General features: G+C 39.6%; 1 long non-coding RNA gene across 2 annotated transcripts in view; it reads right to left on the reverse strand.

Annotated features, from left to right (window-relative positions):
- Positions 1 to 1,615: 1,615 nt before the first annotated feature.
- The window catches only part of LINC00635 (long intergenic non-protein coding RNA 635), a 36,407-nt gene continuing 11,239 nt past the window's right edge, over positions 1,616 to 26,783 (reverse strand). The window contains exons 4-11 of one of the 2 annotated variants that reach the window (NR_015414.1): positions 17,034 to 17,156; positions 15,084 to 15,183; positions 13,827 to 14,008; positions 10,251 to 10,305; positions 9,777 to 9,925; positions 8,860 to 9,072; positions 3,630 to 3,733; positions 1,616 to 2,166 (exon numbers count right to left, since the gene is read on the reverse strand). This is a non-coding gene — a long non-coding RNA (long intergenic non-protein coding RNA 635). The remainder of the gene's footprint in view (positions 2,167 to 3,629; positions 3,734 to 8,859; positions 9,073 to 9,776; positions 9,926 to 10,250; positions 10,306 to 13,826; positions 14,009 to 15,083; positions 15,184 to 17,033; positions 17,157 to 26,783) is intronic. The other variant, NR_024276.1, reaches the window with a different exon arrangement.

Genomic DNA, 26,783 nt, shown 5'->3' on the forward strand with positions numbered 1-26,783 from the left:
CCAGCTCACAGTCCAAAGTTTGGTCAAGCAAGGAGCATCATCGCTCCTGTCCTGTGTGGCCTGCAGCACGGGCCGATTCAGTGGGAGAGGAGCACTCGAAAGAGAGAGAACAGATTTGCTGCTCATTCTGCACAGGGAGTGCTCGTTATGCGGCCGCCGTAACAAAACACCGTAGACTGGGTAGTTTAAACAACACACTTATTTTCTCACAGTCTGGAGTCCGGAGGTTCAAGATCTGGATGCCACCACGGCCAGGTTCTGATGAGGACCCTCTTCCTGGCTGAAGGGTTAGCTGGCTGCCTTCTCAGATGAGTAGGAGTGAGAGGGCGAGCCGGTGAGCTCTAGTGTCTGTCTCCTCCTATAAGGAAACGAATTCCATCATGAGGGGCCCACCGTCATGACCTTATCTAAACCTAATGATCTCCAAAGACCACATCTCCAAATAGCATCACATTAGGAATTAGGGCTTCAGCGATATGAATTTTTTTTTTTTTTTTTTTTTTTTGGTGGCAGGGGAAATCACAATTCAGTCCATAGCAAGAGCTAATTGAATATCTTCAGGGTAATCACTCCCCTCTAATAGGGGGAGAACTAACTCTGGTAACTTAAAGGTTATTTTCTTCCCTTATTGTGCCTAAGCCAAAGTGGCTTTCTGATCTCTGTCTTGTTTCTGCATAAAAAGAACAAAAAGTCATTTTAATGTGCAGGAGACGTTCTCATTCTACCTGTGAAAAATAGTATCAAAATGATAACTCACTTAGTTTGGGGCTTAGTGCTTTAAGGATGGTAGCTCCAAGAGGCCTTGGCATATAACATTCCTACCCTCGATTTTGAATTCAAAATTCAGATTGAAGTGGCTCAAAGCAAAGTATTATTTTTCTCCATTCTATAATTAGCCATCGCCAATAGCTAGTTGTCTAGCTGTTAATTCCTGTTTATATCCTGTAGTTCTTCAGCACATGCAGAATTGCTCTCACAAATCAGGGAGCGGAAGACAGACATCATGTGAAACAGAGGGGAATGTGATTGGCTTGTTGAGCCAGAAAGATCAGGCCTCTGAACAAGTGGTCTCTGATTAACTCTGAATTCTGACTGATTGGAGGTGTTTCACACATCAACAAATTCCACTGATGTTTCTATCGTCCACCGTTTGTTTGTTTGCATCACTATGCCCAGCCATCCCACCACTCAAGCTTTGGTTTCATGAAAAAAGCAAAACATTAAAAAGTTTAAAATGTGTTTCTGCTATCATGCCACCTCCCTGCAAACACCAGTCATTTTCTTAGCAGAGTAAAAACTAGGTTAATTATGGCAGCCTATGCCAGAGGTGACCTGGCAGGAATCCCACCCTCCATGCTTTTTGTTGGTTGTCTTTGTCTTAGGGTTTTTGCAAGAATTAAATAAAATAATTTGCATATGTAAAGCGCTTAACATGGTGCCATGCGCAATGAATATTAGTTCATTTAATTATTTTCATAATCCTGTGGAAAAAGTTATTTTCCCTTTGTATGACATAAGAACAGGCAGCTGAATGAATATTTGTTGAATGAAGATTATCTAGACCAATGGTTTCCGAAATTTCGGATTTCAAGGCTCATTAAAACTAAAAAGGAAATTGGGATTGATGCAGGGCTGCTTTTTATTTTTCTAAGCTGAGGCATGTGAAAATTAATTTCCAGTTACTAGCAACAATATGGTGTTACAAACAAAAGAAGTTGTACAGCAGATATAATATAGAATTAAAACAGAATAGATTTAACTTATGGAAAGGCATGTCTTTTCTCCTGTTTTTCTTGATTTGCTGAGGAATGGTGGAAGTAAGGTGGTCTGGCAGAGGACACGAACTCACATTTAGAAATCTCTAATCCCATCCAAACCTTTGCCTCCATAAACCGTCTGAGCCAAGTGGTTGTTGCTCCTAATTTTAGGGATCCTTGGGCATGAAGATTTCACAGTCTTCCTGGCAGCTTCTTCTAAAGTTTAATCATGCTTAAGTTATGTTTGAGCCTGAGCCGCCCGGAGGATTGAATCCAAGCAATGAAGAAAAAGCAGCCTGACCTGTCTGCCTTCTGGGTGGGCTGTGCCTTCTGAGGTGTTCACATGTATAATCAAATCTCCTTGTGGTCATTCAGATTTGAAGATGAGCCTCACTCAGAGCAAGCACTCCTAGAATTAAAAAGAAAAAAAGTAAGCAATATGTGACTCTAACTGAAGGCTTTTTGCCCATTCTCTCTGGAAACATATAAGAATTCTGGAATTTGAGTCTATATAATATCATCCTTATGTCAAGTCATGAGATCTTCAATCAGAATAAATATGAAATTACAGTAAATATGAAATCAGAGTAAATATGAAATATGTCATGGTCTGGTATACCTCAACATAAAACCCCATACAGCCATTTGAGCCACTGGGGACATTTTACTTTTCATAGAAATTTCTGGGCCTCATAAAAGGACTTTTCATGTAAAGTAGTTATAATAAAATGAAGTCAGACTCTCTCCACTTGACATTTGTCACAATCATTGCAATGATATAGTTTGGGTATTTGTCCCCTCCAAATCTGATGTTGAAAATGGATCCCCAAAGTTGGACGTGGGGCCTATTAGGAGGTGTTTGGCCCAGTGGGACAGATCCCTCATGAATGGCTTAATGGCCTTCTCATGATTAAGTTCTCACTCTTAGTTCCTGTGAGATCTGGTTATTGAAAAGAGTCCGGCACCTCCTTTCTCTCTCTCTCACTTCTGCTCTCACCATGTAACACACTGGCTCCCCTTCCCCTTCTGCCATGATTGGAAGCTTCCTGAAGCTCTTACCAGAAGCAGATGCTAGCACCGTGCTGCTTGTACAGCCTACAGAGCTGTGAGCCAAATAAACCCATTTTCTTTAGAAATTACCTGGCCTTGGGTATTCGCAGGGGTTTCCAATCTTTTGGCTTCCCTGGGCCACACATAAAATACACTAATGGTAGCTGATAAGCGAAAAAAAATTGCAAAAAAAAAAACAAAACTCATAATGTTTTGAGAAAGTTTACGAATTTGTGCTGGGTCGCATTTAAAGCTGTCCCGAGCTGCATGCATCCCATGGGCCGCGAGTTGGACAAGCTTACTTTATTGCAACACAGACTAAGATATGCAAGGATCTGAAGTTTGTTGCTACTCAAAATGTTCAGTAGTAATCTGGGAGGCTATATATTCCCTTTGGGGCAGGGTCAAGTAAAATAGGGGGACTGACTTTATTTGTTAAGAAGATTAATTCATGTTACAGATAAGTTCCACGATGGGGCTGAATTTTCTTTATCCTTTTAAAATAAAAGCACATTACCAAAAATCCATCATTTTTTTTTTGTTTCTTTTAAGTTGGGTCTATACAAGGCAGCTAGTTACAGAATATGTTTCATTATTTGCACCCATTTGGTGTCTACATACAGCCTGAGAATGGTGAGAAGATTCGAGAGAACATGAATTTAACTTGAAGTAAATTTAGAGGACAATCAAAGGAATTATTCTAAGACTCTTCCTGATATAACAAATCAATAGGAATTTTGAAGTAAAAGTTGGGCTAAGGCTTTCTTACATTTAGTGTCTTTTTAAATCATGTTTTACAGTCATTTACCCTTCAGTCCTTACCTAAGATGACATCTTTTCTGTAGCCTCCAATCAGGCAGATGATTCAACAGAACAGTTGAAATTTTTATTATACTAGAAAGCTTCAACATGTGGGTTCACTGTATCTGAATGTGAACAGAAAACAACATTATAAAATATCAACCTGTAGTCTCAATCATCAGGATATTTACATATTTTAGTGTTTTTTAAAAAACCACCTTAAAATGAGTCTAATGGATTTCTATACACACATACAGACACAGACATTCATGCCATTAACCAGGGAATTGCCAAAAGCACACTCCCCATTGTGACTAAATGTTACCACTATATTAAAATGTTTTCTAGTTCTGAATCAATAAAGAAAGGCTTATGTTAAAAAAAAAAATGCGGCCGGGCGCTGTGGCTCACGCCTGTAATCCCAGCACTTTGGGAGGCCGAGGCGGGCGGATCACGAGGTCAGGAGATCGAGACCATCCCGGCTAAAACGGTGAAACCCCGTCTCTACTAAAAATACAAAAAAAATTAGCCGGGCGTAGTGGCGGGCGCCTGTAGTCCCAGCTACTTGGGAGGCTGAGGCAGGAGAATGGCGTGAACCCGGGAGGCGGAGCTTGCAGTGAGCCGAGATCCCGCCACTGCACTCCAGCCTGGGCGACAGAGCAGACTCCGTCTCAAAAAAAAAAAAAAAAAAAAAAAAAAAATGCTCCCAAGAACCCAGCAGACACCTAAAAAACAGGAAATATGTTGACTTTAATCAATATACACCATTTTAAGTGAAAGCATCACTCCTCAGAAAAGGGAGTGTGCTTTGGAGAAGGCAGAAAGACATTGTTCTGTGGGGGGATTTCTCTTTATCCAGGTGACTCTTTGCAATAAATTTTGAAAACTAAAATTAAACAGTAAATGTAGATTCCCTCTATGATATGTGGGTGTTTTGAGTAAAGTCCCAATTGTGCCCTTTGTCCTCCTCCCTCAGAAAATACAATCTTTAAATAAACATGGAAGGGCCCAAGACTGTACGAATTCACTCAATAGTACTCTTGCCAAAAGGAAGATGTATCACTGTTAAAATAGAAATGGCTGTAGTGGGCTTTCACAATCTAATGCCCCTGCTTTTAGCAAATTCAAGAAACTAGGACATTACTGGGTCCATATACTATCAAGGGATTCTCTTTTGAATACAAAGCACAGCCTAGACTGCATGAAGGACATCTGAGAAGGCCACAGAAACACTGAGCAGGGAGAATGGCGGTAGTGTTTAAAGGAAACCTTCACTGGAGTGACTGGAAACCGGGGCCATGTAAGGATAATGCTTTCCAGGATGGTTTAAACAATCATCCTCAAAGGTGCAACTCTCCAAGTGAGTATGGACCATGTCTCCCTAATGCTGTGTCTTTGCTAATGTATTACAGCATTAGTGCTATTTATAATCAATAAAATTACTAACACTGTAATCATGTGGGTTTGGTGATAGTAATTATGACAGAATAAACAGTAGTAATAAACAGCAGTCAGAATGCCTTTGCTGCAGTTCTTGATGTTGATGGCAAACACAGCCAAGGAAGGTTGGTTTTGTTTGTTTTTTCCTTTTTTAGGGAAGCCATCCAAGCGGGCAGAACCTGCAAGTGTTGGCCAGGAGAACGGTTTTATATACCTTTTAAAATTAGGCTTCCTGAAAGGAGATGTCACAAAGATTCATTGGCTAAGATTTATAAATAGTTCACTTATTTTAAAAAATAATCACATATATGTTTCTGTAAATTATACTTGCAAACATATGGTCACCATTCCCCCTCGTGGAAAGGCTGTGGCTAATCCATATTTGGAGCTGACACCCTTTCTGGGTTCCCTCTTTAGCCAGATCACGCACATTTGCTGCTGCCCCACCGAAGCGCCTGCGCATTAGAGTTCCTTCTGTACTACTCTGAGCAGTTCCTTATGCGTCTGTTACCACTGATGTTGGGTAAAAAATAACATCCAGAGGCTTTACTATCTATAATTAAGAGCTCCAGTGCTACTAGTGATATAAGGATTGAGCTGTTTGAGAAACAGACATTTTATCTTCTGGTTGGTTTTATTTCCTTGTGTTAAATTATGAGTGAATGTTTCTCTCGTTTCTTACTTTCCCTATAAGTAGTCTTTTCTACAGCAAAATTACTACTCATTCTTAATAACTACCAGGCAATAAAGTGAGCTGTCTATTTGAGAGACAGTGGGTGTGCATTCCAACTATTCCATTCATCGTGTTTGCAGGACAGCAACGGGGAGGGATTTCTGGGGCCTCTGGAGAGGGTGGCTTAAAAGACTACAGGAAGTTAGTATCAATGTTTTGCTTCTTGATGGAAGAGAGCTTCATGATAGCTCTGGGATTGAATAGGCAAAGGCAAATAAAATAAAATCAATCGCCTTACAGTTAAGAGCTCTGTTAAACAGAGCACTTGTTTGAGCTTGTTTTTAAAAGTCCATGCCCTTTGACTCAGCAGTGAACATTTCTAGAGATTTATCTTAAGGAAATAACCAGATCAGCAATGAGCATTTCTAGAGATTTGTCTTAAGGAAATAACTAGATCCACGGCAGAGATGTGCATTCAAGGATATTGTCCACATCATTGTTTATCAGAGTCCCTATCTTGGCTCAGAACAGGAGAGATTAGGACTTGTCTGGATACAGGTAGTTTATTTCCAACATGATCCTGGGAAGCAGGAGGGAGAGAGTAGGGAAGAGGGAAAAGCAAACTTAGTGAGGCTGATGCCTTGGGCTGCTGGGACTCAACTCCACAGCGCCCTCTCGCGAAACACTCACAAGGTCTCCTGAAGCATTTATTCACCAGTCCGTCCCCACTGGTTTAAGGTTGTCTAGGAGCAAGGAGAAAGACTCTCCTTTGCCTCAAGGCTCTTTAGCATCGGAAAAGCCCCTTTGCTAGCTTTTCCATGTGAGTCTGAGCTCTCATGACCATGTTCATTGCAGCTATGGCTGAAACCAGAGGCAGACCAAAGAACACAACCCTGGGAACCCGAGGCGTCCATTATAAGCCGAACTGGAAACACCCAGAAGATCCACTCACTGGAAACTGTTTAAATAATTCTTATAGATACACACAGCAGAGGGTTTTGTAGTCATCGGCAATTATGACGTCTGTATTTATTTATGGACATAAAGAGGCATGTGCCAACAAAAAAAGCATGTTACAAAGCAGGATATATACTATTTTTTAAAATCTATAAATGTACAGATGTACCGCAGGTTATGAAACACACAACAGATACAAAATTGTTTTATGCAAATTGCTCCATAAGGTACATAATTTAATTTTAGAGATGTGGACATTTGTACATCCAGTGCAAGGCTAAATGTGGGAAATGCACTTCAGAGCTCCACAGCCCCTTCCCCATGCCCCTCACTGGGTCCTCACCTGTCTCCATTACCTGCTGTGATCTCTGTGTGTCAGCCACGCTAATTCCATGTTGTTTGTGTCATTTCGCCTTTACTGCCTTCTAATTTCAACTGGAAAGTGCTGATAAGGACAGAGGCTAGCAGTCTATTTGAAGGCGTAAAGGGAAAGATACAGCACCCCTAGTACAAAGTTGGTGGCTAGGCATGGGTGGCTCAATAATTTCAAAGACCTTGTCTTTTTTTTTTTTTTAAATCATTTTAAAAAGGAACTGTAACACCATGAATGGTGATACAAAAAGCCGCAGAAGCAAATCGAAAGCATTTCAATGTATATGAAATATGATTTACTTAAGACCTTTGAAAAACAGATGATTGTATAAATTGCATAAGTTGGAAGATGTCTCTATTCCCTAGGAAAAGTGATTTTCTCTGGATGGTGGAATTTCAAATTATATTTCTTTGTTGGCATTTTCCCAATATTTCTCAAAAATTATGTTAGTTAAGAAAGCATGATGATGACAGAGACAGGGATGAAAGACACAGCATCTTTTTAGTCACTTGCAGTTATTGTGGGAAATTTCCATTAATAAACACAAAGAGGCCGTTCCAGAGCATCTATGTAGGGATCTGTTGGAAGGAGCAAGCTGAAGCTGTGTTTCATAGCACTTTAGATGAAACAGAAAATGGCAATTCTGATTGTCTATGTTATCAATGAAGGAGAGTGGCTTATAGAGATTATGGACAAAGCTCCTCCTCGCCACCCCCTTCAATCCCTGACATCTCCTCTAGCCGTCCTAAAAGGTGACGCCCAGGTGACCTTGCACGCGGCAAGTGTCTGGCTGGAATCTCACCTCTTTCCATGATAACACAAAACCAGCCTTTTGACCTCATAGCAGAGCAAGGCCAGGTGGTCTGGAACATGGTTAGCCACAAGCTGACTTTCTAACCAGCCTATTTTTTCCCGACAACACTGGGCAGTTTAGTGAGTCAGATGGTGATTCCCTACATGCGAACTGTTTTTCTATGTAAAATAAATGCCAGCTGTTTCTAGCTGTTGATTATGGGTCGTCCTTTAGGAACACTCTTTCTGGTTACTTTTTAAAACTAGATAGTATCTTACATCTTTAGAATACAATCACAATTATTTCCTAATTATTTTTAAATGATGCTATTTAAAAAGTGCCATGTAGTTAAAAAATGTGTATGTGCCCTAGCTGAATGAAGCTGTAATAAATCCTGTGAATTGAATAAATATTTAGACTTTTCAGTGCATTAAAAAATGAAGGTTGATGGGCACTGAGAAGAACGGGGACATTATTTAAATGTTATGCATTTTCATGGAAGAAATAGTTTGGTTGTTGTCCTCCCTTTCTTCAAAGCAATGATTTTCAGGCTTGGATTTTCAACACCCCATGCACTCACCAATTATCCCGAGGGAGGCCACAGAATTGCCATTGCCTTGTGTTCAGCTCATCGCATTCATTGATTTAATCCACCTGGACATTTTTCAAAGCCAGTAATTGAAAATGTAGCCTGACAGGTTAGCAGGAGTGGCAGGGCCTGGGCGGCAGGGGTGGAGTGGAGGAGGGTAGCTACTTTCTCATCAGCAACTGTAGCAGTTGCATCAGATGCTAGCACCCAAAATGCTGACCCAGGGGCTACCCAGAGACCACAGGACAGAAGACAGGTGCATCCCTTCTGGGCAGTGACCGGCCTCAGAGGAGAGCTCAGAGGCAGGTGAGTGGTAGGAGACTCATGTCCCAAAAGCACCCAGTTTGCCACAAATCCAATAAGGTTCAAAAGCAACAATGTTACAGAGGCCATGTGTTATTTTTTTCCTTTTCTTTTCTTCATTACCTGAAATTCTTTTGTGTGTGTGTGAGATGGACTGTTTCAAGCTCAGCTAATCCAGATCTATTTCTATGCATCCATTATTATTGTTGGTAGCAGTAATGGGATTTTAAAATATTAACGGATGTTTCCACCTCTCTGCAGTGTTTTCTGCCGCTGTCTCCATTCCTTCAGGTATCCAGGCAATTGTGTGCTCATTATCTCAGGAAGGATGTGATTCTGTGGGAAGCAGGGGAGAGAGAAGTGTGAGCAAGCCGAACCTCAGGCCTCAGGGGAAATTGTGAGGGCTTTGAGGAAAAACAAAATATTTGGGAAGAAGGATATTATAAGGGAAGCAAGGCTCCTCTGAGGACTGGAAGGGATTTCCCAGACTAGATGAGGAGGCCAAAGAGCAGAGGACAGGTGTTTCCTTCCTGTTAATACCTAGCTAGCCCTAGAGATGATCTTAGAATGAAGTGACAGATGAGAAAAGCTGACTGAGCCCAGGGACAGGAAGACCCCAGAGAGGGACTTCAGAGAGAATATAGGAAGAGGGGCTGTAGATAGCCTCACAGGAGCCTGTGCACCTCCAAGGAGGCATAGACACAGCAGGGAGGTGGTGGGGCCTAAACGTGCCATTTGGACAGAAAGAAAGGATGTCACTTGCAGCCTGTTGTGGATCAACAACTGAGGGCAAGTGGATGCCCCAGCAGACATCTGTGTGGAGAGATGACCCTGGCAACCAGGTGCCCCCGACTCCTACCACATCCACACCCTGGGACTCTGTGAACCCCCAGAATTCCACAGGAAGGAAACACAAGAGTGACTGAGATTGAGTTTCTAGGCTTAAAATAGACATTAAGTTTAGTGGTAGAAAGTTTACATTTTTTTGTACATTTGAATTATGAATAAGATTCATGTCACCTAGTGTTATTTGTCCTTACCATATGGTGTGGATGTTAGAATTATGAAACCTATCATTATAGATTTCACTGTTTCAAAACATTTCCATGCACTTTAAAAAAAGTGATCTCCTCCAAAAGTGTGTGAGGTTTGGAGGAAGGCTATTATCCTTACAAGCGAGATGAGGATGCTGGAAGACAGGGAGAGAGGTGAAGGAATTTGTTTAACATCGCACAGCTGGCATCCACATCCTGTTTCACGAGACCCTTTTAAATCCATCCTACCACCATCTTCTCCCACCACCTACCACTTCTTGTACCCCTTCCCTACCATAGAAATAACACATTTCACATCCTTTTTAGCATAGCAAATCTTTTTAAAGATTTTGCAGTCTTTTAAAACAAATCAAATGGTGTATTTGAAATAAAACCAAGGCATCAAGGCAATGGAACAAAGCACTGCTCTGCTTTCAAAGCCCGTTTCACCTACCCCCACAGCTCTTAAGTTAGTATTACCACATTAGTAAGTCTCCAGAGACTTTGGAGATCACCTGCTACAGTCCCCTTCCACCTAGAATGAGAAAGGTAGTCATTGTTCAAGGCCACACAGCCAGGCAGGGGCAAACTGAGGGGGCAATAAAACCTGGCCTCCTTATCCGCTGTTCAATACTCTTTCCTATACACAAGATTTCAAGTTAGCTTGAGCAAAAATAAGTTCAAACTTTGATGAATTTAGCAATGTTCCCCAAACTCTATTTGTAAAAAATAGCCCTTTAACCAAAAAAAAAAAAAAAAAAAAAAAGTTGGCATATAATGCTCTCTTTACTTGAGATGCTTTAAAAATTTCTTCTGTAGAAAAAAGTAGTCACGATAAATTTCTCATATTGAAAATGTCAAGCTCTATTTGTTATATGATGATGTCAGTGACTATAAAATATGAATTTCTGCTTGAGGATAGAAACTCTACAAAGATTTGGATTCTAATATCTGTTGAGATATGAGTGATAACTAGGAAGTTGCTTTGCTTGAGTTGTTTTGAAATAGTTGTTATGACTGTCATTGTTCATTGCGAGTCTGTATATGTGCATGTCTGAAACAGAGATTGCAGTTGCTGATATTTGTACTCATATTTGTCACTGTCACCAAACTCCAAAACGGATATTGCCAAAGGGTTTCATTCTCATGCAAGACCTTGTGGCTGACAATGGGCAGGACAGAAAACTAATATTTGTTGAGTATCTACTATGTGTGGGACCATACCAGGAAGACAGGGAACTTCTACTTCTGTAGAAAATTGGCAGAGCTGAACAAACATTTAAAAAATTGCTCAACATCACCAATGATCAGAGCAATGCACATCAAAACCACAATGTGATACCACCTTTACTCCGGCAAGAATGGCCATAATCAAAAAATCAAAAAATTATAGACGTTGGTGTGGATGCAGTGAAAAGGGAACACTTCTACATTGCTCGTGGGAATGTAAACTAGTACAATCACTATGGAAAACAGTGTGGAGATTCCTTTAAGAACTAACAGTAGAAGTACTGTTTGATCCAGCAATCCTGCTACTGGGTATCTACCCAGAGGAAAAGAAGTCATTATATGAAAAAGATACTTGCACACGCATGTTTATAGCAGCACAATTCGCAATTGTAAAAATATGAAACCACCCCAAATGCCCATCAATCAAAGAGTGGCTAAAGAAATGTGGTATATATATACGATGGAATACTACTCAGCCATAAAAAGGAATGAATTAATGGCATTTGCAGCAACCTGGATGGAACTAGAGGCTAATATTCTAAGTGAAGTAACTCAGGAATGGAAAACCAAACATCGTATTTTCTCACTCATAAGTGGGAGCTAAGCTATGAGGAAGCAAAGGCATAAGAATGATACAATGAACTTTGGGGACTCAGAGGGAAAGGGTGGGAAGGCGGTGAGGGATAAAAGACTACAAACTGGGTTCAGTGTATACTGCTTGGGTGATGGGTACACCAAAATCTCACAAATCACTATTAAATAATTTACTCATATAACCAAATACCACTTGTTCCCCCCAAAACCTATGGAAATAAAAAATTTTAAAAAAATAAAAAGAAAATTGGCAGGCCTACAGTGGCTTGAAGATGCTATGACTAACTCACATGCCATTTATCAATATATCCATTCAACAGATAGTCTGCAAATATGCACTGGGCTCCTAGAATATTACAGGTATTGTTCTAGGTGCTTGGGATACAGCAGTGAATGAGGAGACAAGTTCCAATATCTCCTGGAGGTTACATTCCAGAGAGAAAATAAAAATAAAAAATAAGCAAATAAATGCACAAGCTAACTACTTTCTTTCTGCGTTGTGGTAAGCATCTAATTGCATTGTATGTGGGTACTACTATATTCATTTAATGTTACAAATGAGTAAAATAAAGGAGAGAGAGGGTAAATAACTTGACCTAAGTTCTCAAAGCTCATGAGAGGCAGAGATGAAATACTAACTAGGGAAATCTTATTTCGGGGCTTATGTTCTTAACCACTATAAAACTGCTGTAGCTTAAATGTTTGTGACCTCTTTCCCCCAAATTTATATGTTGAAACCTAATCCCCAATGGTATGGTATTAGGAAATGGGGCCTTGGGAGGTGATTAGGTCATGAGGGTGGAAGCCTCATGAATGAGATTAGTACTCTCACGAAGAAGGTCCCAGAGAGTTTCTTTGATCCTTCTTCCATGGGAGGACACAGCAGAAAGACGGCTGTGTATGAACCAGGAAGAGGGCCCTCAACAGACACCCAATCTGCCAGTGCCTTGCTCTTGGACTTCCCACCCTCTAGAACCGTGAGAAATAAATTTTTGTTGTTTATAAGCTACACAGTCTATGGTGTTCTGTTATAGAAGCCCAAATGGACTAAGACAAAAAGTTTATTAAAAAACAACCTACTAAATGGTAGGACAGGTGAGGAAGACAGAAAATGATGATACTATGCAACAGTTAGTATACTTAGGTAAGCAAAGCTAGAGTAGGGGCATATAGGAAGGGCAACTCATCCAGAATAGAGGTGTCTGAAAAGGATTTCTGGAGAAGTTGAAGCCTGATCTGGGCCTTGAAGAATAAATGGAAATTAATGAGGACAGGGAAATGGAAAAGCATTGCAAACCATAGGCAACTTCAATGTCATGCTTCAGGTTGTGGTAGTGCCTTGGGGAGCTGTGAGACATGAGCGGAAAAGAAATCAAGAGCTAGATTCAGGAGGGCCTTGGGTACCACTTCAAGGAGGACTTTGGAGTTTTCCTCTAAAGATAATGGGAAGCTATTGGCTGATTTTAAGATATGATCCCATTTGCGTTTTAATTTTTTTTTTGAGACAGAGTCTCCCTCTGTTGCCCAGGCTGGAGTGCAGTGGCCCCATCACAGCTCACCGCAACTTCCATCTCCTGGATTCAAATGTTTCTCTGCCTCAGTCTTTCAAGTAGCTGGGATTACAGGCGTGCATCACGACACCCAGCTAATTTTTGTATTTTTAGTAGAGACAGGGTTTCACCAGGTTGGCTAGGCTGGTCTTGAACTACTGGCTTCAAGTGATCCGCCAGCCTCGGCCTCCCAGAGTGCTGGGATTACAGGTGTGAGCCCCTACCCCAGCCCCATTTGCATTTTCAGTAGTTCCCTGTGGGATCCTAATCCACTAGGTATTTGGAAGAGTTAAATATCTTTCTCTCCTACTCCCTAACCCCCAGCTCCCAGGAACAACTTGGGCCAGATCTTTGATATTCACCCCAGACATCCTACCACCAGTAAAACATGCTACTATTGACATAAAGAAAAAGATTTCAGGCAATACTTATGAAATTATTTAAATTCTGGGTAAAAGATGATTAATAGCCATAGTTATTCCTGAGTTTGATCTTGACTTAACGTTTGCTCCTAGTTTCAATTTAGCAAATTTTTATGGAGGGCCTTCTCTGTACCTAACACTTTAAGATGCTGAATGGGCTTCTAAAGAAATACTGCATATAATTTAGTTCCTGTCCTCGACAAGACAGTTTTTCCTCTTTTGACAAAAATATACAAAGCAGCATGTGGGTCTTCACTTACATGTCATAAAACACCAGGACAGGAAGAAATCCCTGGATGAGGTTGTCATGGAGAAGAGGAGCCTCAGATGAACTTGGAAAGATTAGTCTCTCAGGATGTAAGAAGATACCAAAATGAATTATTTTCAGTAATCTCCATTTCTTCATGACTCAGACAGACTCAAATGTTAATTGTACTTTGCACTGGAAAAATTAAACAGTGGATATAAAACCATGCAAACACTAGGACAACTAAATCTTTGTGCTTAACCATTTGTTCCTTGGGAAATCACCTTTTTATAATTAATTGTTATGGGAAACTGGGGGCAGGAACTGGCCTCTGAGAACAGCAAAATAAACTCTCTGAGGTGTGAAAATGAAATCTCCTTCTACTTTTAGCTTTGGAATTGTAGTGGACACAACAGAACTCCCCTGGGTGTTGGCAGAGGCTTGTCATGAGCACTCTTGGGCAAGCTTGAAAAATTAGCTAAGAAGTGTTTTGAGGAAAGTCAGTTTGAATATTCACCATTATGTAGATTATAAATTTGGTAAAGGCTCTTAAACAATTGTCATCTTTACTGACAGCAATGTCTTTTGATTAAAAAATATATATATATATATATACACACACATATCCACATATATACACACACATACACACATATGTATATTCAAATAGTTTCATAATTTAAAAAACCCAATCATACATTGATAAAACTGACACCAGCTATCCCAAAGCCACAAATCACCACACAGAGGAACCTTGTTCCCTCCTCACTCTTCTCTGGTTCGTGGGCACCCACCTTGCTGACCATCTCCATGGAGAGCATCAGCAGGATTGAACCTGAAGGAAATGAGAAATGCAAAGCAGAGAGAACAGGGTTGTGCCTCTGATAGTCACGTCTTTTGTAAAGTGCATTTCTCTCTCTGAACGACAAGAGCTTATCTTTAAGCCTAGAAGCCAAGGGCGATTCCTTCTAATTAGGCCAGTAGTCACCATTCTGGTTCCAATAAAATTAATGAAATGACTAATTAGATGCAGAATATTATGCTACCGTTACAGTCCACTAAGGAGTAAAAACGTGACAGTCTCTGCTTAAGAAGCTTATAGCCTAAAGGAAATACAAACAGACCTCAATTTCTTTTTTTCTCACTTGAGTGAATATATCTTACACCGTTCTGTCAAATCAGAAATGCTCTGTCAGGGAGAATAAGCTCCTTTTAATATGTATGCAGAAAGAAACCTAAAGAGTTAGAGCAGTGAGCACAGCAGAGTCACCTTTTCCAGAGGCTTAGGAAAGTCCTAACAAGAAACAGCCACAGAATAGGTTTCTGGTCCCCTCATTCCCAGTCTTGAATCCAAAGCACGCACTCTCCATCTAAAACAATGCAGAACGTAATTTTTGAAAGACAGAAAATTAATGGTTGTGAACCCTCTAAAAGGATGTTTTATTTTACTCACCTAAATTATTATTTTCATTGCAAAATCATGGTCCTTCGCTCTGCTGACTTAATGCTGTAATGCTTTGTGTACCTGAAGAGACAGGCTTCAGATACCTCAAGAGCTGTCTGTGTCTGATGGATAAACGAATAAGCCCTAATGCTCTTCGTGGAGGGCAACCCTCTAATTTCAGTAAGAAATGAGCTATGTGGTGCTTTTATGTGAGTAACCCAGAGTGAAGGTCTGCTGATTCTGAATGGAGGAATTAAAACATTTCTGAGAATAAACACTGATGATACCTACAAGGATGGAAGGATGGTTTTCCCTAAGCCGTATTTGAGTAAAAATTTGGAGGCATCTGTTTAAGAATTCTGTTCAGTTGTTCTCTGTGGGTTCCTACCTTTCTTTCCCTACCATGTGTGAAAGGTGCTGGTGCCAAAATGGAGTCACTTATGTCAAACTGTAACAAAACAGAGTGAGTCAGGGGAGGCCATGAAGAAGAAGCCTTTACGCACACATGCCTGTAACAAGCCTTACAGAAGACACTCTAGCACATAGATCAGTAACGGGACCTATCTCAAGAACTTCCTCGAGATGGCAGTATTCTGGATAAGCCACTCACACAAGGACAGGTACTTAGCAACAGTCTCCACCAGCGAACAAACACTAACTGCCATGAGCTTGTGACCTATGAATGTTACTAAAAAGCAACTCACATGGACTTCTCTTTGTCTTTAAAAGCTTCCCCTTTGCCCTGACCCCCTTGGATGTGCGTGTGATCTGTCATGGCACACATATCCTGTATTGCCATCCCCTGCTGTTGCAAAATAAACGTATTTGTTCTGGAGGGCCCATCTCTCCGAGTTTCTCCTCAGGCGGACCCATGCCAGTTTCCTGAAGTTAATGACCAACAGCATGTAGCTCGTCTAAGGATCTGCACTCAATTTGTACACATGAAAGAAAGGATGTATAGCAAGAAAAATCCTCACAGATCCTTGTGTTACGCCATGTTAAGTTCAGACCAAGCGACCTTCTGGAAAGCGAAGGTACTCTCAGACCAACGGACCCTAAAACCAACTTGAAAACCTTGAGCTGCTTTGTAAGCCCCTTGGAACTTGTCCCCTCCCACCTGGACATGATTTGGAGTTTGTGTTGTTGGTCCTTGGATTTTGGCTTCTGCTTTGATTCCGGACCCACCTTTCCTCCAGCCCTCTGCCTCTTTCTTTTTTCTCAGAATCTCTTAATTGGCTGAGGTCAGCCCTTAGTGTCCGGTTTTGTGCCTCAGCTATATACTTTGTGCCTCTTCAATTTTATACTGTAAAAGCCTTCAATTTTGTACTCTGAAAACTTTCCCTTTTATAACTCTAGGGAGAAAATGCAATATCCCTGGGGCGGAGAGCCTGTTGTAGCTTCTAGCATCTCCCAGAGACCTGCTACAGGTTTGTGACAGGTGGGGGCTATTGCTTTTGGGCTCCTGTCAACAGTATTTTTCAGGAAACTGGGCACTCCAGTTGGTATTAACTATTTGGGCTATTTGACAGAAAAAAAGCAGAAAGCAGAATACATGTACCCTGGGAAAAGTACTTGGAAAAAGCATGTGAAAACATCTGAGTTCTGTGTCAAGGTGTGTGATACAAATTGCTCGATTATCGTAAAGGGTGAATGTGACAAAAAATTAAGTGGGACCAACATCTGGCCATTCCCATGTATGGAATTAATGAGGTTTAAAGGCCCTTTTGATCATCAAATACCTCCCCAAGTGGCCTGTCATTTCATATGAAAACTTACATTTTCCTGTCCAGAAGGCCTCCATTCAAACACAACCATCTTTTTTGGAAGGTACACATACAAATTAATCATCATCAATGTATGAGATGGAGCAAGTGATTCTGTGTCCCAGCAGAACAGGCTCTGAAAAACAAAACATGGAAAAAGAACATTTTAAGCACAGAGTGAATTGAGAATGTTTTGGAGCTATGCTGTTTAAAACGATGGACACTAACCCTATGTGGCTATTTAATCTTAAATTCAAATTTAAATTAATTAAAATAAAATAATTCAATTCCTCAGTCACATTAGCTACACTTCAAGGGCTCAGTAACCACATGTGGCTAGTGGCCGACATATTGGAGAGTGCAGATACAGAACATTTCTGAATGTGCTGAAAGTTGATTGCACAGCTCTGGTCTAGAGTGTAGGGGACTTAATGGGGAGAGCATGTCTAAATACATTGTTTCTATGTTGTACTTGAAATCCAGAGAACAGCCAAGAAAGTACTAGAAAAAATGTAGGTGGGGGAGGGGAAGAGCTCCAATAGAGAAATAGGATCACATAAAATAAGAGTGGTAGGGAGACCAAAGGCAAGCATTGCCTGTTTCACAGTGTTGCTTGGAGTCTTCTGCTGACATATTCTATGAGGAAAAGGCAGAATTTCCCAGCAAGTTATGGCTAGGTTCAAATCCTGGTTTTGCCAAATATTAGTTGGGTGGTTGTAAGCAAGCCATTTAACTCTTTTTAGTTTTTCCTCATCTGTGAAATAGAGATTTTGATTCCTACCCTGAACCACTGTCATGAGGATTAAAGAAAATATATGCAAATCTGGTATATCGTAGGTCCCTAATGAATTGGAGCAATTATATTATAACGCCCATTACCCTGCTTTGAACCACTGACTGTCACTCACATCTTTGTATCTGTCTACATGTCCAGCACATAGCAGGCATTCCATAAATAGCTGTTGGATTTAATTGAACTTGAGGACACTGACCTTTCCCCCCCGCCTCTCTGTCCCTCACTCCCTTTCTCTCTCTCTGCCCTCTCCTTCCCCTCTCTCTCCCTCTTTCTCTTTTCTCTTGTTTTCCTTTTTTTGAGACAGGGTCTTGCAGTGTTGCCCAGGTTGGAGTGAAGTGGTGCAATCATAGCTCACTGCAACGTCGGACTCCTGGGCTCAAGAAATCCTCCCACCTCATCCTCCCGAGTAGCTAGAGCTGTTCCAGTAGGTAGTCCGGCAGACACGAGCAGGACAGAAAGGTCCCCACCTCACCCCACTGGAATATCAGGCAACCATTAGGTGATGGTCAGGTGGTTGTTAAACTCTCTCTAAAATAATAATTGGTTGTAGGTGGTGCCAGGAAAAGGCAGTCTCCCAATAGGTAGAAACACCTGAAGTTGGTGATTAGTAGCTTCCCAATAAGATCTCAGGAGTTGGGCCAGTGGGCTCAAGCACTAAGGGGCATTCTTCCCTTACCAGGAAAGTATTCCTAGAGGAAGGTCGTATACCAGTTAAACTCTGCTATTTTGCCTCTTAGTTGTCTGATATTCCTTATGGGGGAGGGGGCTTTCCTGCCCTGCTCATGTCTACCTAACTTTCTGTAACAGGACTATGGGTGTATACTACCATACCCGGTTAATTTTTTTAATTTTTATTTTTAGTAGAGACAAGATCCCACTGTGTTGCCCAGGCTGGCCTTTGTTTTTGTAAGCTCTCATCTTCACTACAAATGAAGACCCAGTGAAAGAAAGATGCTGTCCAAATGCCAGTGTTATTGGTATTGCAAAAGTAATTAATATGAAATAGGATCAGAAGACAACAGTCCCTTGGAAGCTAATCCTTTTAAGTTAATGGAATTTAAATATTATAATTCATGAAATAGCACTTAAGTAGTACTGCTTGGACAGTTACTGCTTGTTAGCTGTATTTGCTGAATTTAAAAAATTACACCCTTCACAGAATTGCTTGAGGGCACAAGTACAAAGAATTAATATGTTAATTATCATAAGTGAATCATTAAACAGCAACAGTAATTAACAGCTTAAGTTAATATCTGTAAAAAACCCACACAAACCAGTAGTCTTAGTGCTCTCCCACTGGGAAAAGAGCTGGAAGAAGAGCTGAATGGTGGAATATCGGATGTGAATGTGTAATCATGCGAGTTCATCTGGTCCCTCCTACTGCCTTCATATTGAACCACTGTGGACAAATAAGCCCTCACTGTAATGGTCTTAATAAGACATTTAATAATCTTTGCCTGGTGCCATGGTTAATACTGAGTGTCAACTTGATTGAAGGATACAAAGTACTGATCCTGGGTGTGTCTGTGAAGTTGTTGCCAAAGGAGATTAACATTTGAGTCAGTGGGCTGGGAAAGGCAGACACACCCTTAAACTGGGTGAGCACCATCTAATCAGCTGCCAGCGCAGCTAGAATATAAAGCAGGCAGGAAAACATGAAAAGACTAGATGGGCCTAGCCTCCTAGCCTACATCTTTCTCCTGTGCTGGACCCTTCCTCTCCTTGAACATCAGACTCCGGGTTCTTCAGTTTGGGGACTTGGATTGGCTTTCCTTGCTCCTCAGCTTGTAGATGGCCTCTTGTGGGACCTTGTGATCGAGTGAGTTAATACTTACATAGTGTGAGTTAATACTACTCCACTTTATATTTATATATATATATATCTCCTATTAATTCTGTCCCTCTAGAGAATGCTGACTAATACACTAGGCCTGCACTTATTATTGAGACTTTTTCTTTGTATCGTCAGTGTGTATTTTTTCATAGATACCTAACCTGTCAAATGAGATGTTTGAAACTTTCAGAGGAGAAGTTTTAAATGTGGGCTCCAAGGAGTCCAGAACCACTCAGCAACTTGGGGAACAGAAAGCGAGGTAGGATGTATGAGCAGGAACAGATGTGATTTACTCTCTTACCAACCCTAACACTCCCCTCCCAACCTTGATTAAGCTAGCATAACACAAATTTTATATATTTAATTGGCTTGCTTTAATTAGGTTTGAAGAAGAGTCTCCAACAACTTAATGTCTTTTCTATATCTTGTATCTTCTTTTTTATATCTTGGTAAATTATTTTGAAAATCACCTAATTTGATCTTCCTAAATTTCCTGTTCACTTAAGTCCTTAGTTCTGAACCCTCGCTGACAAATTATATCCACACGTATTCTGATTCAGTAAATTTATGCGGGACCCTAACATTTTAAAAAATCTCCCTAGAGGATCCCAACTTGCAGCCAGGGTTGAGATGTATTGTTTAGTCCAACTGCACTGATTTCCTTCCAGGTAGAAATGGGTAGGAGAAGCATTTCATTTTTTTTTTTTTTTCTGCCAGAGGACAGTTTTCCCAGGAAAATGTGTGTTTATAGAGCTTAGTTTATTCTTTCTTTCCATATTCCTATATAAATCAACATTCCCATCTTGACGTCCTTCAAGTAATAGCTGCTATGACTCTCAAACCATTGACTTTATCATTTAATTTTATGAATTTCTATCTGTTATCGAGAAGAGATGGGTTTCATTTAATTAAGATGATGTCTTTTGGCCAGGCGTGGTGGCTCATGCCTATAATCCCACCACTTTGGGAGGCCAAGGCAGGTGGATCACCTGAGGTCAGGAGTTCAAGACCAGGCTGGCCAGCATGGCAAAACCCCGTCTGTACTAAAAATACAAAAAAAAAAAAAAAAATTAGCTGGGTGTGGTGGCATGCACCTGTAATCCCAGCTACTTGGGAGGTTGAGGCAGGAAAATTGCTTGAACCTGGGAGGCAGAGGTTGCAGTGAGCCGAGATCGCACCATTGCACTCCTGCCTGGGTGAGGGAGTGAGAGTCTGTCTCAAAAAAAAAAAAAAAAAAAAAAAGATGGTGTCTTTTAGTAAATCTATAAATGTCCACCAACAAATGTTAGTGTTGAGATTGTTATACAATGTTAGAGCATATTTTTACCTTACATGTGTTTGTTTTGTTTGTTTGTTTGGTGTGTGTGTGTGTGTGTGTGTGTGTGTTTTGAGACAGGGTCTTGCTCTGTCATCCAGGCTGGAGTGCGGTGGCACAATCACTGCTCACTGCAGCCTTTGCCTCCTGGGCTCACGTGATCCTCCCACCTCAGCCTCCCAAGTAGCTGGGACCAGAGGTGCATGTCACCACGCCTGGCTAATTTTAGTATTTTTGTAGAGACAGGGTTTCACCATGTTGCCCAGGCTGGTCTCAAACTCCTGGGCTCAAGTGATCCTCCTGCCTCAGCCTCCCCAAGTGCTGGGATTACAGGAATGAGCCACCATGCCCACCCAATGTGTTATTATTATTATTTTTTAATAACAAAAACGTATTATTATTATTGTGTCTTGCACACAGTAGGCTCAAACTGAATGATTAATGTCACAATAAGAATCTAGAAATAATTCTACCTGTTACAAAATGTGTAAACATTCAGCTGCTACCATGTACCCGTACTCTGAGCTGAGTGTTTTCCATTAATGTAGAACCAGGATTAGCTAACAAGGGCAGCATTCCAGGGTTTTTTTTCTTGTCACCACTTTTGTGTTCCAGTTAAGTGGCAACAAATTTGGTAAACAGACAACAGCTGAACTAGAGAACTGGTATGATCTTCCATTCTGAACAGCTAGATATAGCACTGGTATGAGTGACTGAGTCAGTAGGAATAGACTATGATTCCCTCCCTCCCTTTCTCCCTTTCTTCCTTCCCTCCCTCCCGTTTCTGAAAATCCAAGGAAGCAGAAAAATATAGAAAATGATATTGCAAATACCCTTATATCTGTCACCTGACTTTAAGTCTTACCATTTTTTGATATTTCATCCAATACTTACTAATATGGTTTGGCTCTGTGTCTCCATCCAAATCTCATCTCAAATTGTAATCTCTGTTGTGTCAAGGGAGGGACCTGGTGGGAGGTCACTGGATCATGGGGACAGTTTCCCTGGTTTCCCACATGCTGTTCTCGTGAGAGTGAGGGAGTTCTCACGAGATCTGATGGTTTTTAAAGTGGCAGTTTCACCTGAGTGCTCTCTGTCTCCTGCCACCACGTAAGACCTGCCTTGCTTCCTCTTTGTCTTCCTCTATGATTGTAAGTTTCCTGAGCTCTCCCCAGCCATGTGGAACTGAGAGTCAATTAAACCTGCTTTCTTTATAAATTACTCAGTCTCAGTTATAGCAGTGTGAAAATGGACTAATACACTTAGTTTAAGAAATAGAAATTCACAATTAGAATTGAAGCTACCTTTAAAACGACACTGCCCTTAACTCATACTCTTTCCCAGACTTTGCTACACATTAGAATCACTTGGAGAAATTTAAAACTCCCATTTCCCAGGTCTCACCTCCTACCAATTAAACTGGAATGTCTGGGAGAGGCAGCCTTTAGTATTTTGTAAGCTCTGCAGGTAATTATTACATGTGAAAAGTTTGGAAAATACTGTCCTATTTCCCACTCCAAAGGTAACTTCCATCCAATATTTGATGTTTATATTTTTACTACATATGTGTATTTATAAACAAAATACAGTTTTGCATGTTTTAAAATATACATGTTGTATAATTTTATATTCTATAATGTGCTTTTTATACTCAACTTGCCTTTTTGTGGTTTATCAATATTTATGCATGTAGTTATAACTTACTCATTTTAACGGCTATATAGCATTCAACTTTTAAATAAACCATGTTATTTGTCCACCTTCCTATTGGCAGATGTTAACAATATGACTTTGTGTTTATGAATTTTGTTCATTTATTCATTTATTTAGGTCTTTTATATGTCTTGGTAAAGATCTTGCACATCTTGTGTTGGCATAATTCCTCGATATCTGGAGTTTTTCTGCTATTGCACATGGTATCCTTCAATCACGTATTTGTCACTGGTCCATATGAATAAAATCAGTTTTAGTGAGTTGATTGTGGGTCCAGCAACTTTGCTGAATTTTCTTATTAGCTTAAGGAGATTTGGTGTATATTCTCAGTTTTCATTTGGAGACAATCATATTACCTGTAGTGATAGTTTTCTTTTTTTCTGAGCTTTATAAATTTAGTACCTTTCTTTTATCTTATTGTACTGTTTAGAACCTCCAGCATAATGTTTGGTTAAATCTGTGATAAAAGAAACTCTTAGATTCTTTCTAACTACAAAGGGAATGCTTCTAATGTTTTAATTTTAAGAATTATGTCTGCTATGAGTTTTTTGTGAGTTCCTATTATATATATATCCTTTATCAGGTTTAGAAAGTTTTCTTCTTATTTTGCTAAGATTTTTATCATTAAAAGATGCTGAATCTTATCATGTGCTCTTTTTTTCATCTACTAGAAGATTATATAGTTTTTTCTTTTAATCTGCTAAGAAGATACATTTATATGACTATACCCTGTTTTAAATAATATTATATGAAAGTAATACATACACACACATAGTTTTAAGAATCAAATTATACCACTAACATTATAATGGAAAGCACTTGGTACCTGGTCATCATCCAATATCTGAGGCAATCATTTCCAATTATTTTATGTATTTCTTCTGGTATTTTCCTTCCTATTCAAATAATAACAAGTATATACTGACTTATTTTTATTCTGAAGCCTATTTTGCTTAAAATTAATAAAGATACTTCAGTTTTTTAAATTAGCGCTAACATGTTATGTATTTCTCTATCTCTTTCTTTCAGTTTATCTGGGTTTTTATATTTGAAGTGAGTTTCTTGCTGCAATGTATAATTGGATCTTTTAAAACCCACTTTGACAATCTTTGTCTTTTAGCTGCTGTATTTAGATAATTACATCTAAATACATAATTATATCTAAATATCAACTTATTGATGTTGCTGAATTAATATTTATCATGTTTATAACTTTTCTATCTGTTGCATTTATACTTTCTTTTTTCCTCTTCCATTTCTGCCTTCTTTGCTTTTAATTGAGCATTTTATATTATTTCAAATTTTTCTTCTCTTAGAATATCAATTACACTTTTTTTACACAACTTTTTTAGTAGTTTCCTTTGAGTTTGTTGTATACACCTACAACAAATCCAAGTCTACTTTCAAATAGCCCTATTCTACTTTAGGGGTAGTGCAAGGACCTTACAAGAGAATATTTTAAATTCCTTTCTCCTGTGACTTGAGATATTGCTGTCACTGATTTCACTTTTTTTTTTTTGAGATGGAGTCTTGCTCTGTTGCCCAGGCTGGAGTGCAGTGGCACGACCTTGGCTCAGTGCAAGCTCCGCCTCCCGGGTTCATGCCATTCTCCTGCCTCAGCCTCCCGAGTAGCTGGGACCACAGGTGCCTGCCATCACACCTGGCTAATTTTTTGTATTTTTAGTAGAGACGGGGTTTCACCGTGTTAGCCAGTATGGTCTCGATCTCCTGACCTTGTGATCCGCCCCCCTCGACCTCCCAAAGTGCTGGGATTACAGGTGTAAGCCACCATGCCTAGCCTGATTTCACTTACTGATATGCTATGATTACCCAATAAATTGGTGTAATTATTGTTTTAAATTATCTCTTAGATCAACTGATAAATTGGTATGGTTTATGGTTTACTTTCATCCATTCTTTCTCCGATGATTTTCTTTCTAAAGATCTAAATTTCTAACATGTATTATTTTCCTTCTGCCTGAAGAATATTTGAACATTTCTTGCAAAACAGATGATGAATTCCTTCAGTTTTTGTTTAAGCAATCTTTTTTTCATTCTTAGTTTTGAAGGATAATTTTGCTGCATATAGAATGCTGGGATGGTGGGGTTATTTTCCAACATTTTAAGTCTTTTACTCCACTCTCTTTTGCTTGCATGGTGTGCAATCAAAATTTTTTTTATAATTATTATTCTTCGTGTTCTATAGATAAGATTTTTCTCCTGTTTTTTTTCCATATTTTTCTTTTTGTTTTTGGTTTTATACAATTTGAATATGATATGCTTAGTCCATTTTTGGTGTTTGCTTGGTGTTTCTTGAGCATTCAGAATTTGTGGTTTGGTGTCTGTCATTATTTTTGAGAAAATGTCAGCCATTATTACTCCAAGTATTTTTTTCTACTTTACTTTCTTCTTTTTCTTCTTCTAATATTTCATTTACACACGTTATGCCTTTTGCAATTGTTCTACAATTTTTTTGAATGTTCTGTTCTCCTTTTTAAATTATCTTTTCTCAGAAACCATTGTACCAAAAGGATACCTTCACTCATGTTTATCACAGTACTATTGACAATACCAAAGTGGAATTGGCCTTAGTGGCCATTAGAAGATGATTGGATAAAGAAAATGTGGTGTGTGTATATATACACACACACACACACACACACTATATAAATATATATGACAGAGTACTATGAAGCCATAAAAAAGAAGGAAATGTCTTTTGCAGCAACATGGATGGAATTGGAGGCCATCGTTTTAAGTGCAACAACTGAGAAACAGAAATACCACCTCTTCTCACTTACAAGTGGGAGCTAAATAGCATGTGCACATGGACATGGAGTACAGAATAACAGACAGTAAAGACTTGGAAAAGTGGAGAAGATTGGAAGGGGGTGGATAATAAAAAGTTACTTTGGGTGATGGATACACTAAAAGCCCTGACTTCATCACTATGCAATGTATCCATGTAACGAAATTACATGTCTACCCTATAAATTCATATAAGAAAAAAAAAAAAAAGGCAAATGTGAGCACAACTTCTTTAAAAAATACATACATTCTCTTTTCTCATTGCATTTTAGTTTAGGAAGTTTCTGTTGACCTATATTAAGGCTCTCTAATTTTTTCCTTATCTGTGTAACATCTACTGTTGAGCAAATTAAAGGTATTCTTGATTTCTGTTACCAAGTTTTTGATTTCTAATATTTCCTTTTAGTTCTTTCATGGAATTTCCATGTCTCTGCTTACATTTGCCCTCTGTTTTTACACAGTGTATACTCTTTACATTGGAGTCTTTACCATTTTAATCATGGTTATTTAAATTCTGTCTTATAATTTCAACGTTTTCATATCTGAGTTGGATCCTGATGATTGCTTTATTTCTTCAGATTGTATTTTTGTTTCCCATTTGGTATGCTTTGTAATCTTTTGTTAAAAGCTGAAAATGTTGTGTCAGGTAATATGGATTGAGGTAAACAAGCCTGTATGAGGATCTGGCTAGGAATTTACCTGTGTTATGGCCTAAATGTTTCTGTTCTCGCCAAATGTTGAATCCTAATCCCTAGTGCAATAGTATTAAGAGATGGGGCTTTTAGGAAGTGATTAGGTCTTGAGGACGGAGCCCTCATGAATGGGATTGGTGCCCTTATAAAAGCGGCCCAATGGAGTTCATTTATCCCTTCTGCCATGTGAAGACGCAGTGAAAAGGCACCATCTTCAAAGCAAAAATGATTAATACCCAAGCTCTTGCCAGATGCTGAATGGTGAACTCCAGCCTCCAGAGCTGTGAACGAAAAAATTTCCATTGTGTATAAGTTACCCAGTCTAAGGTATTTTGTTACAGTAGCCTGAACAGATTAAGACAGATTGTGTTTAATGTTTTCTGTAGCTGTAGGTGCCAGAGGCTTCAAATTCGTCTAGTGTCCTTGCTTTGTCTCCACTCGTGACTTAGGGCTTTCATTATCCTCAGTCTCTGTTTTGCAGCTCCTTTAGCTGTATCCAGTGTTATTCTGGAGCCCCGATTGTGTGGCACTAAGATGTATGGGAGGGAAAATGTTCTATAATCTTCCAATTAAATTAAATCTCAGTCCATTATTGAGTCTATGTT

The sequence above is a fragment of the Homo sapiens genome, chromosome 3, assembly GCF_000001405.40.
Source record: "Homo sapiens chromosome 3, GRCh38.p14 Primary Assembly".
NCBI classification, from domain to species: Eukaryota; Metazoa; Chordata; class Mammalia; order Primates; family Hominidae; genus Homo; species Homo sapiens.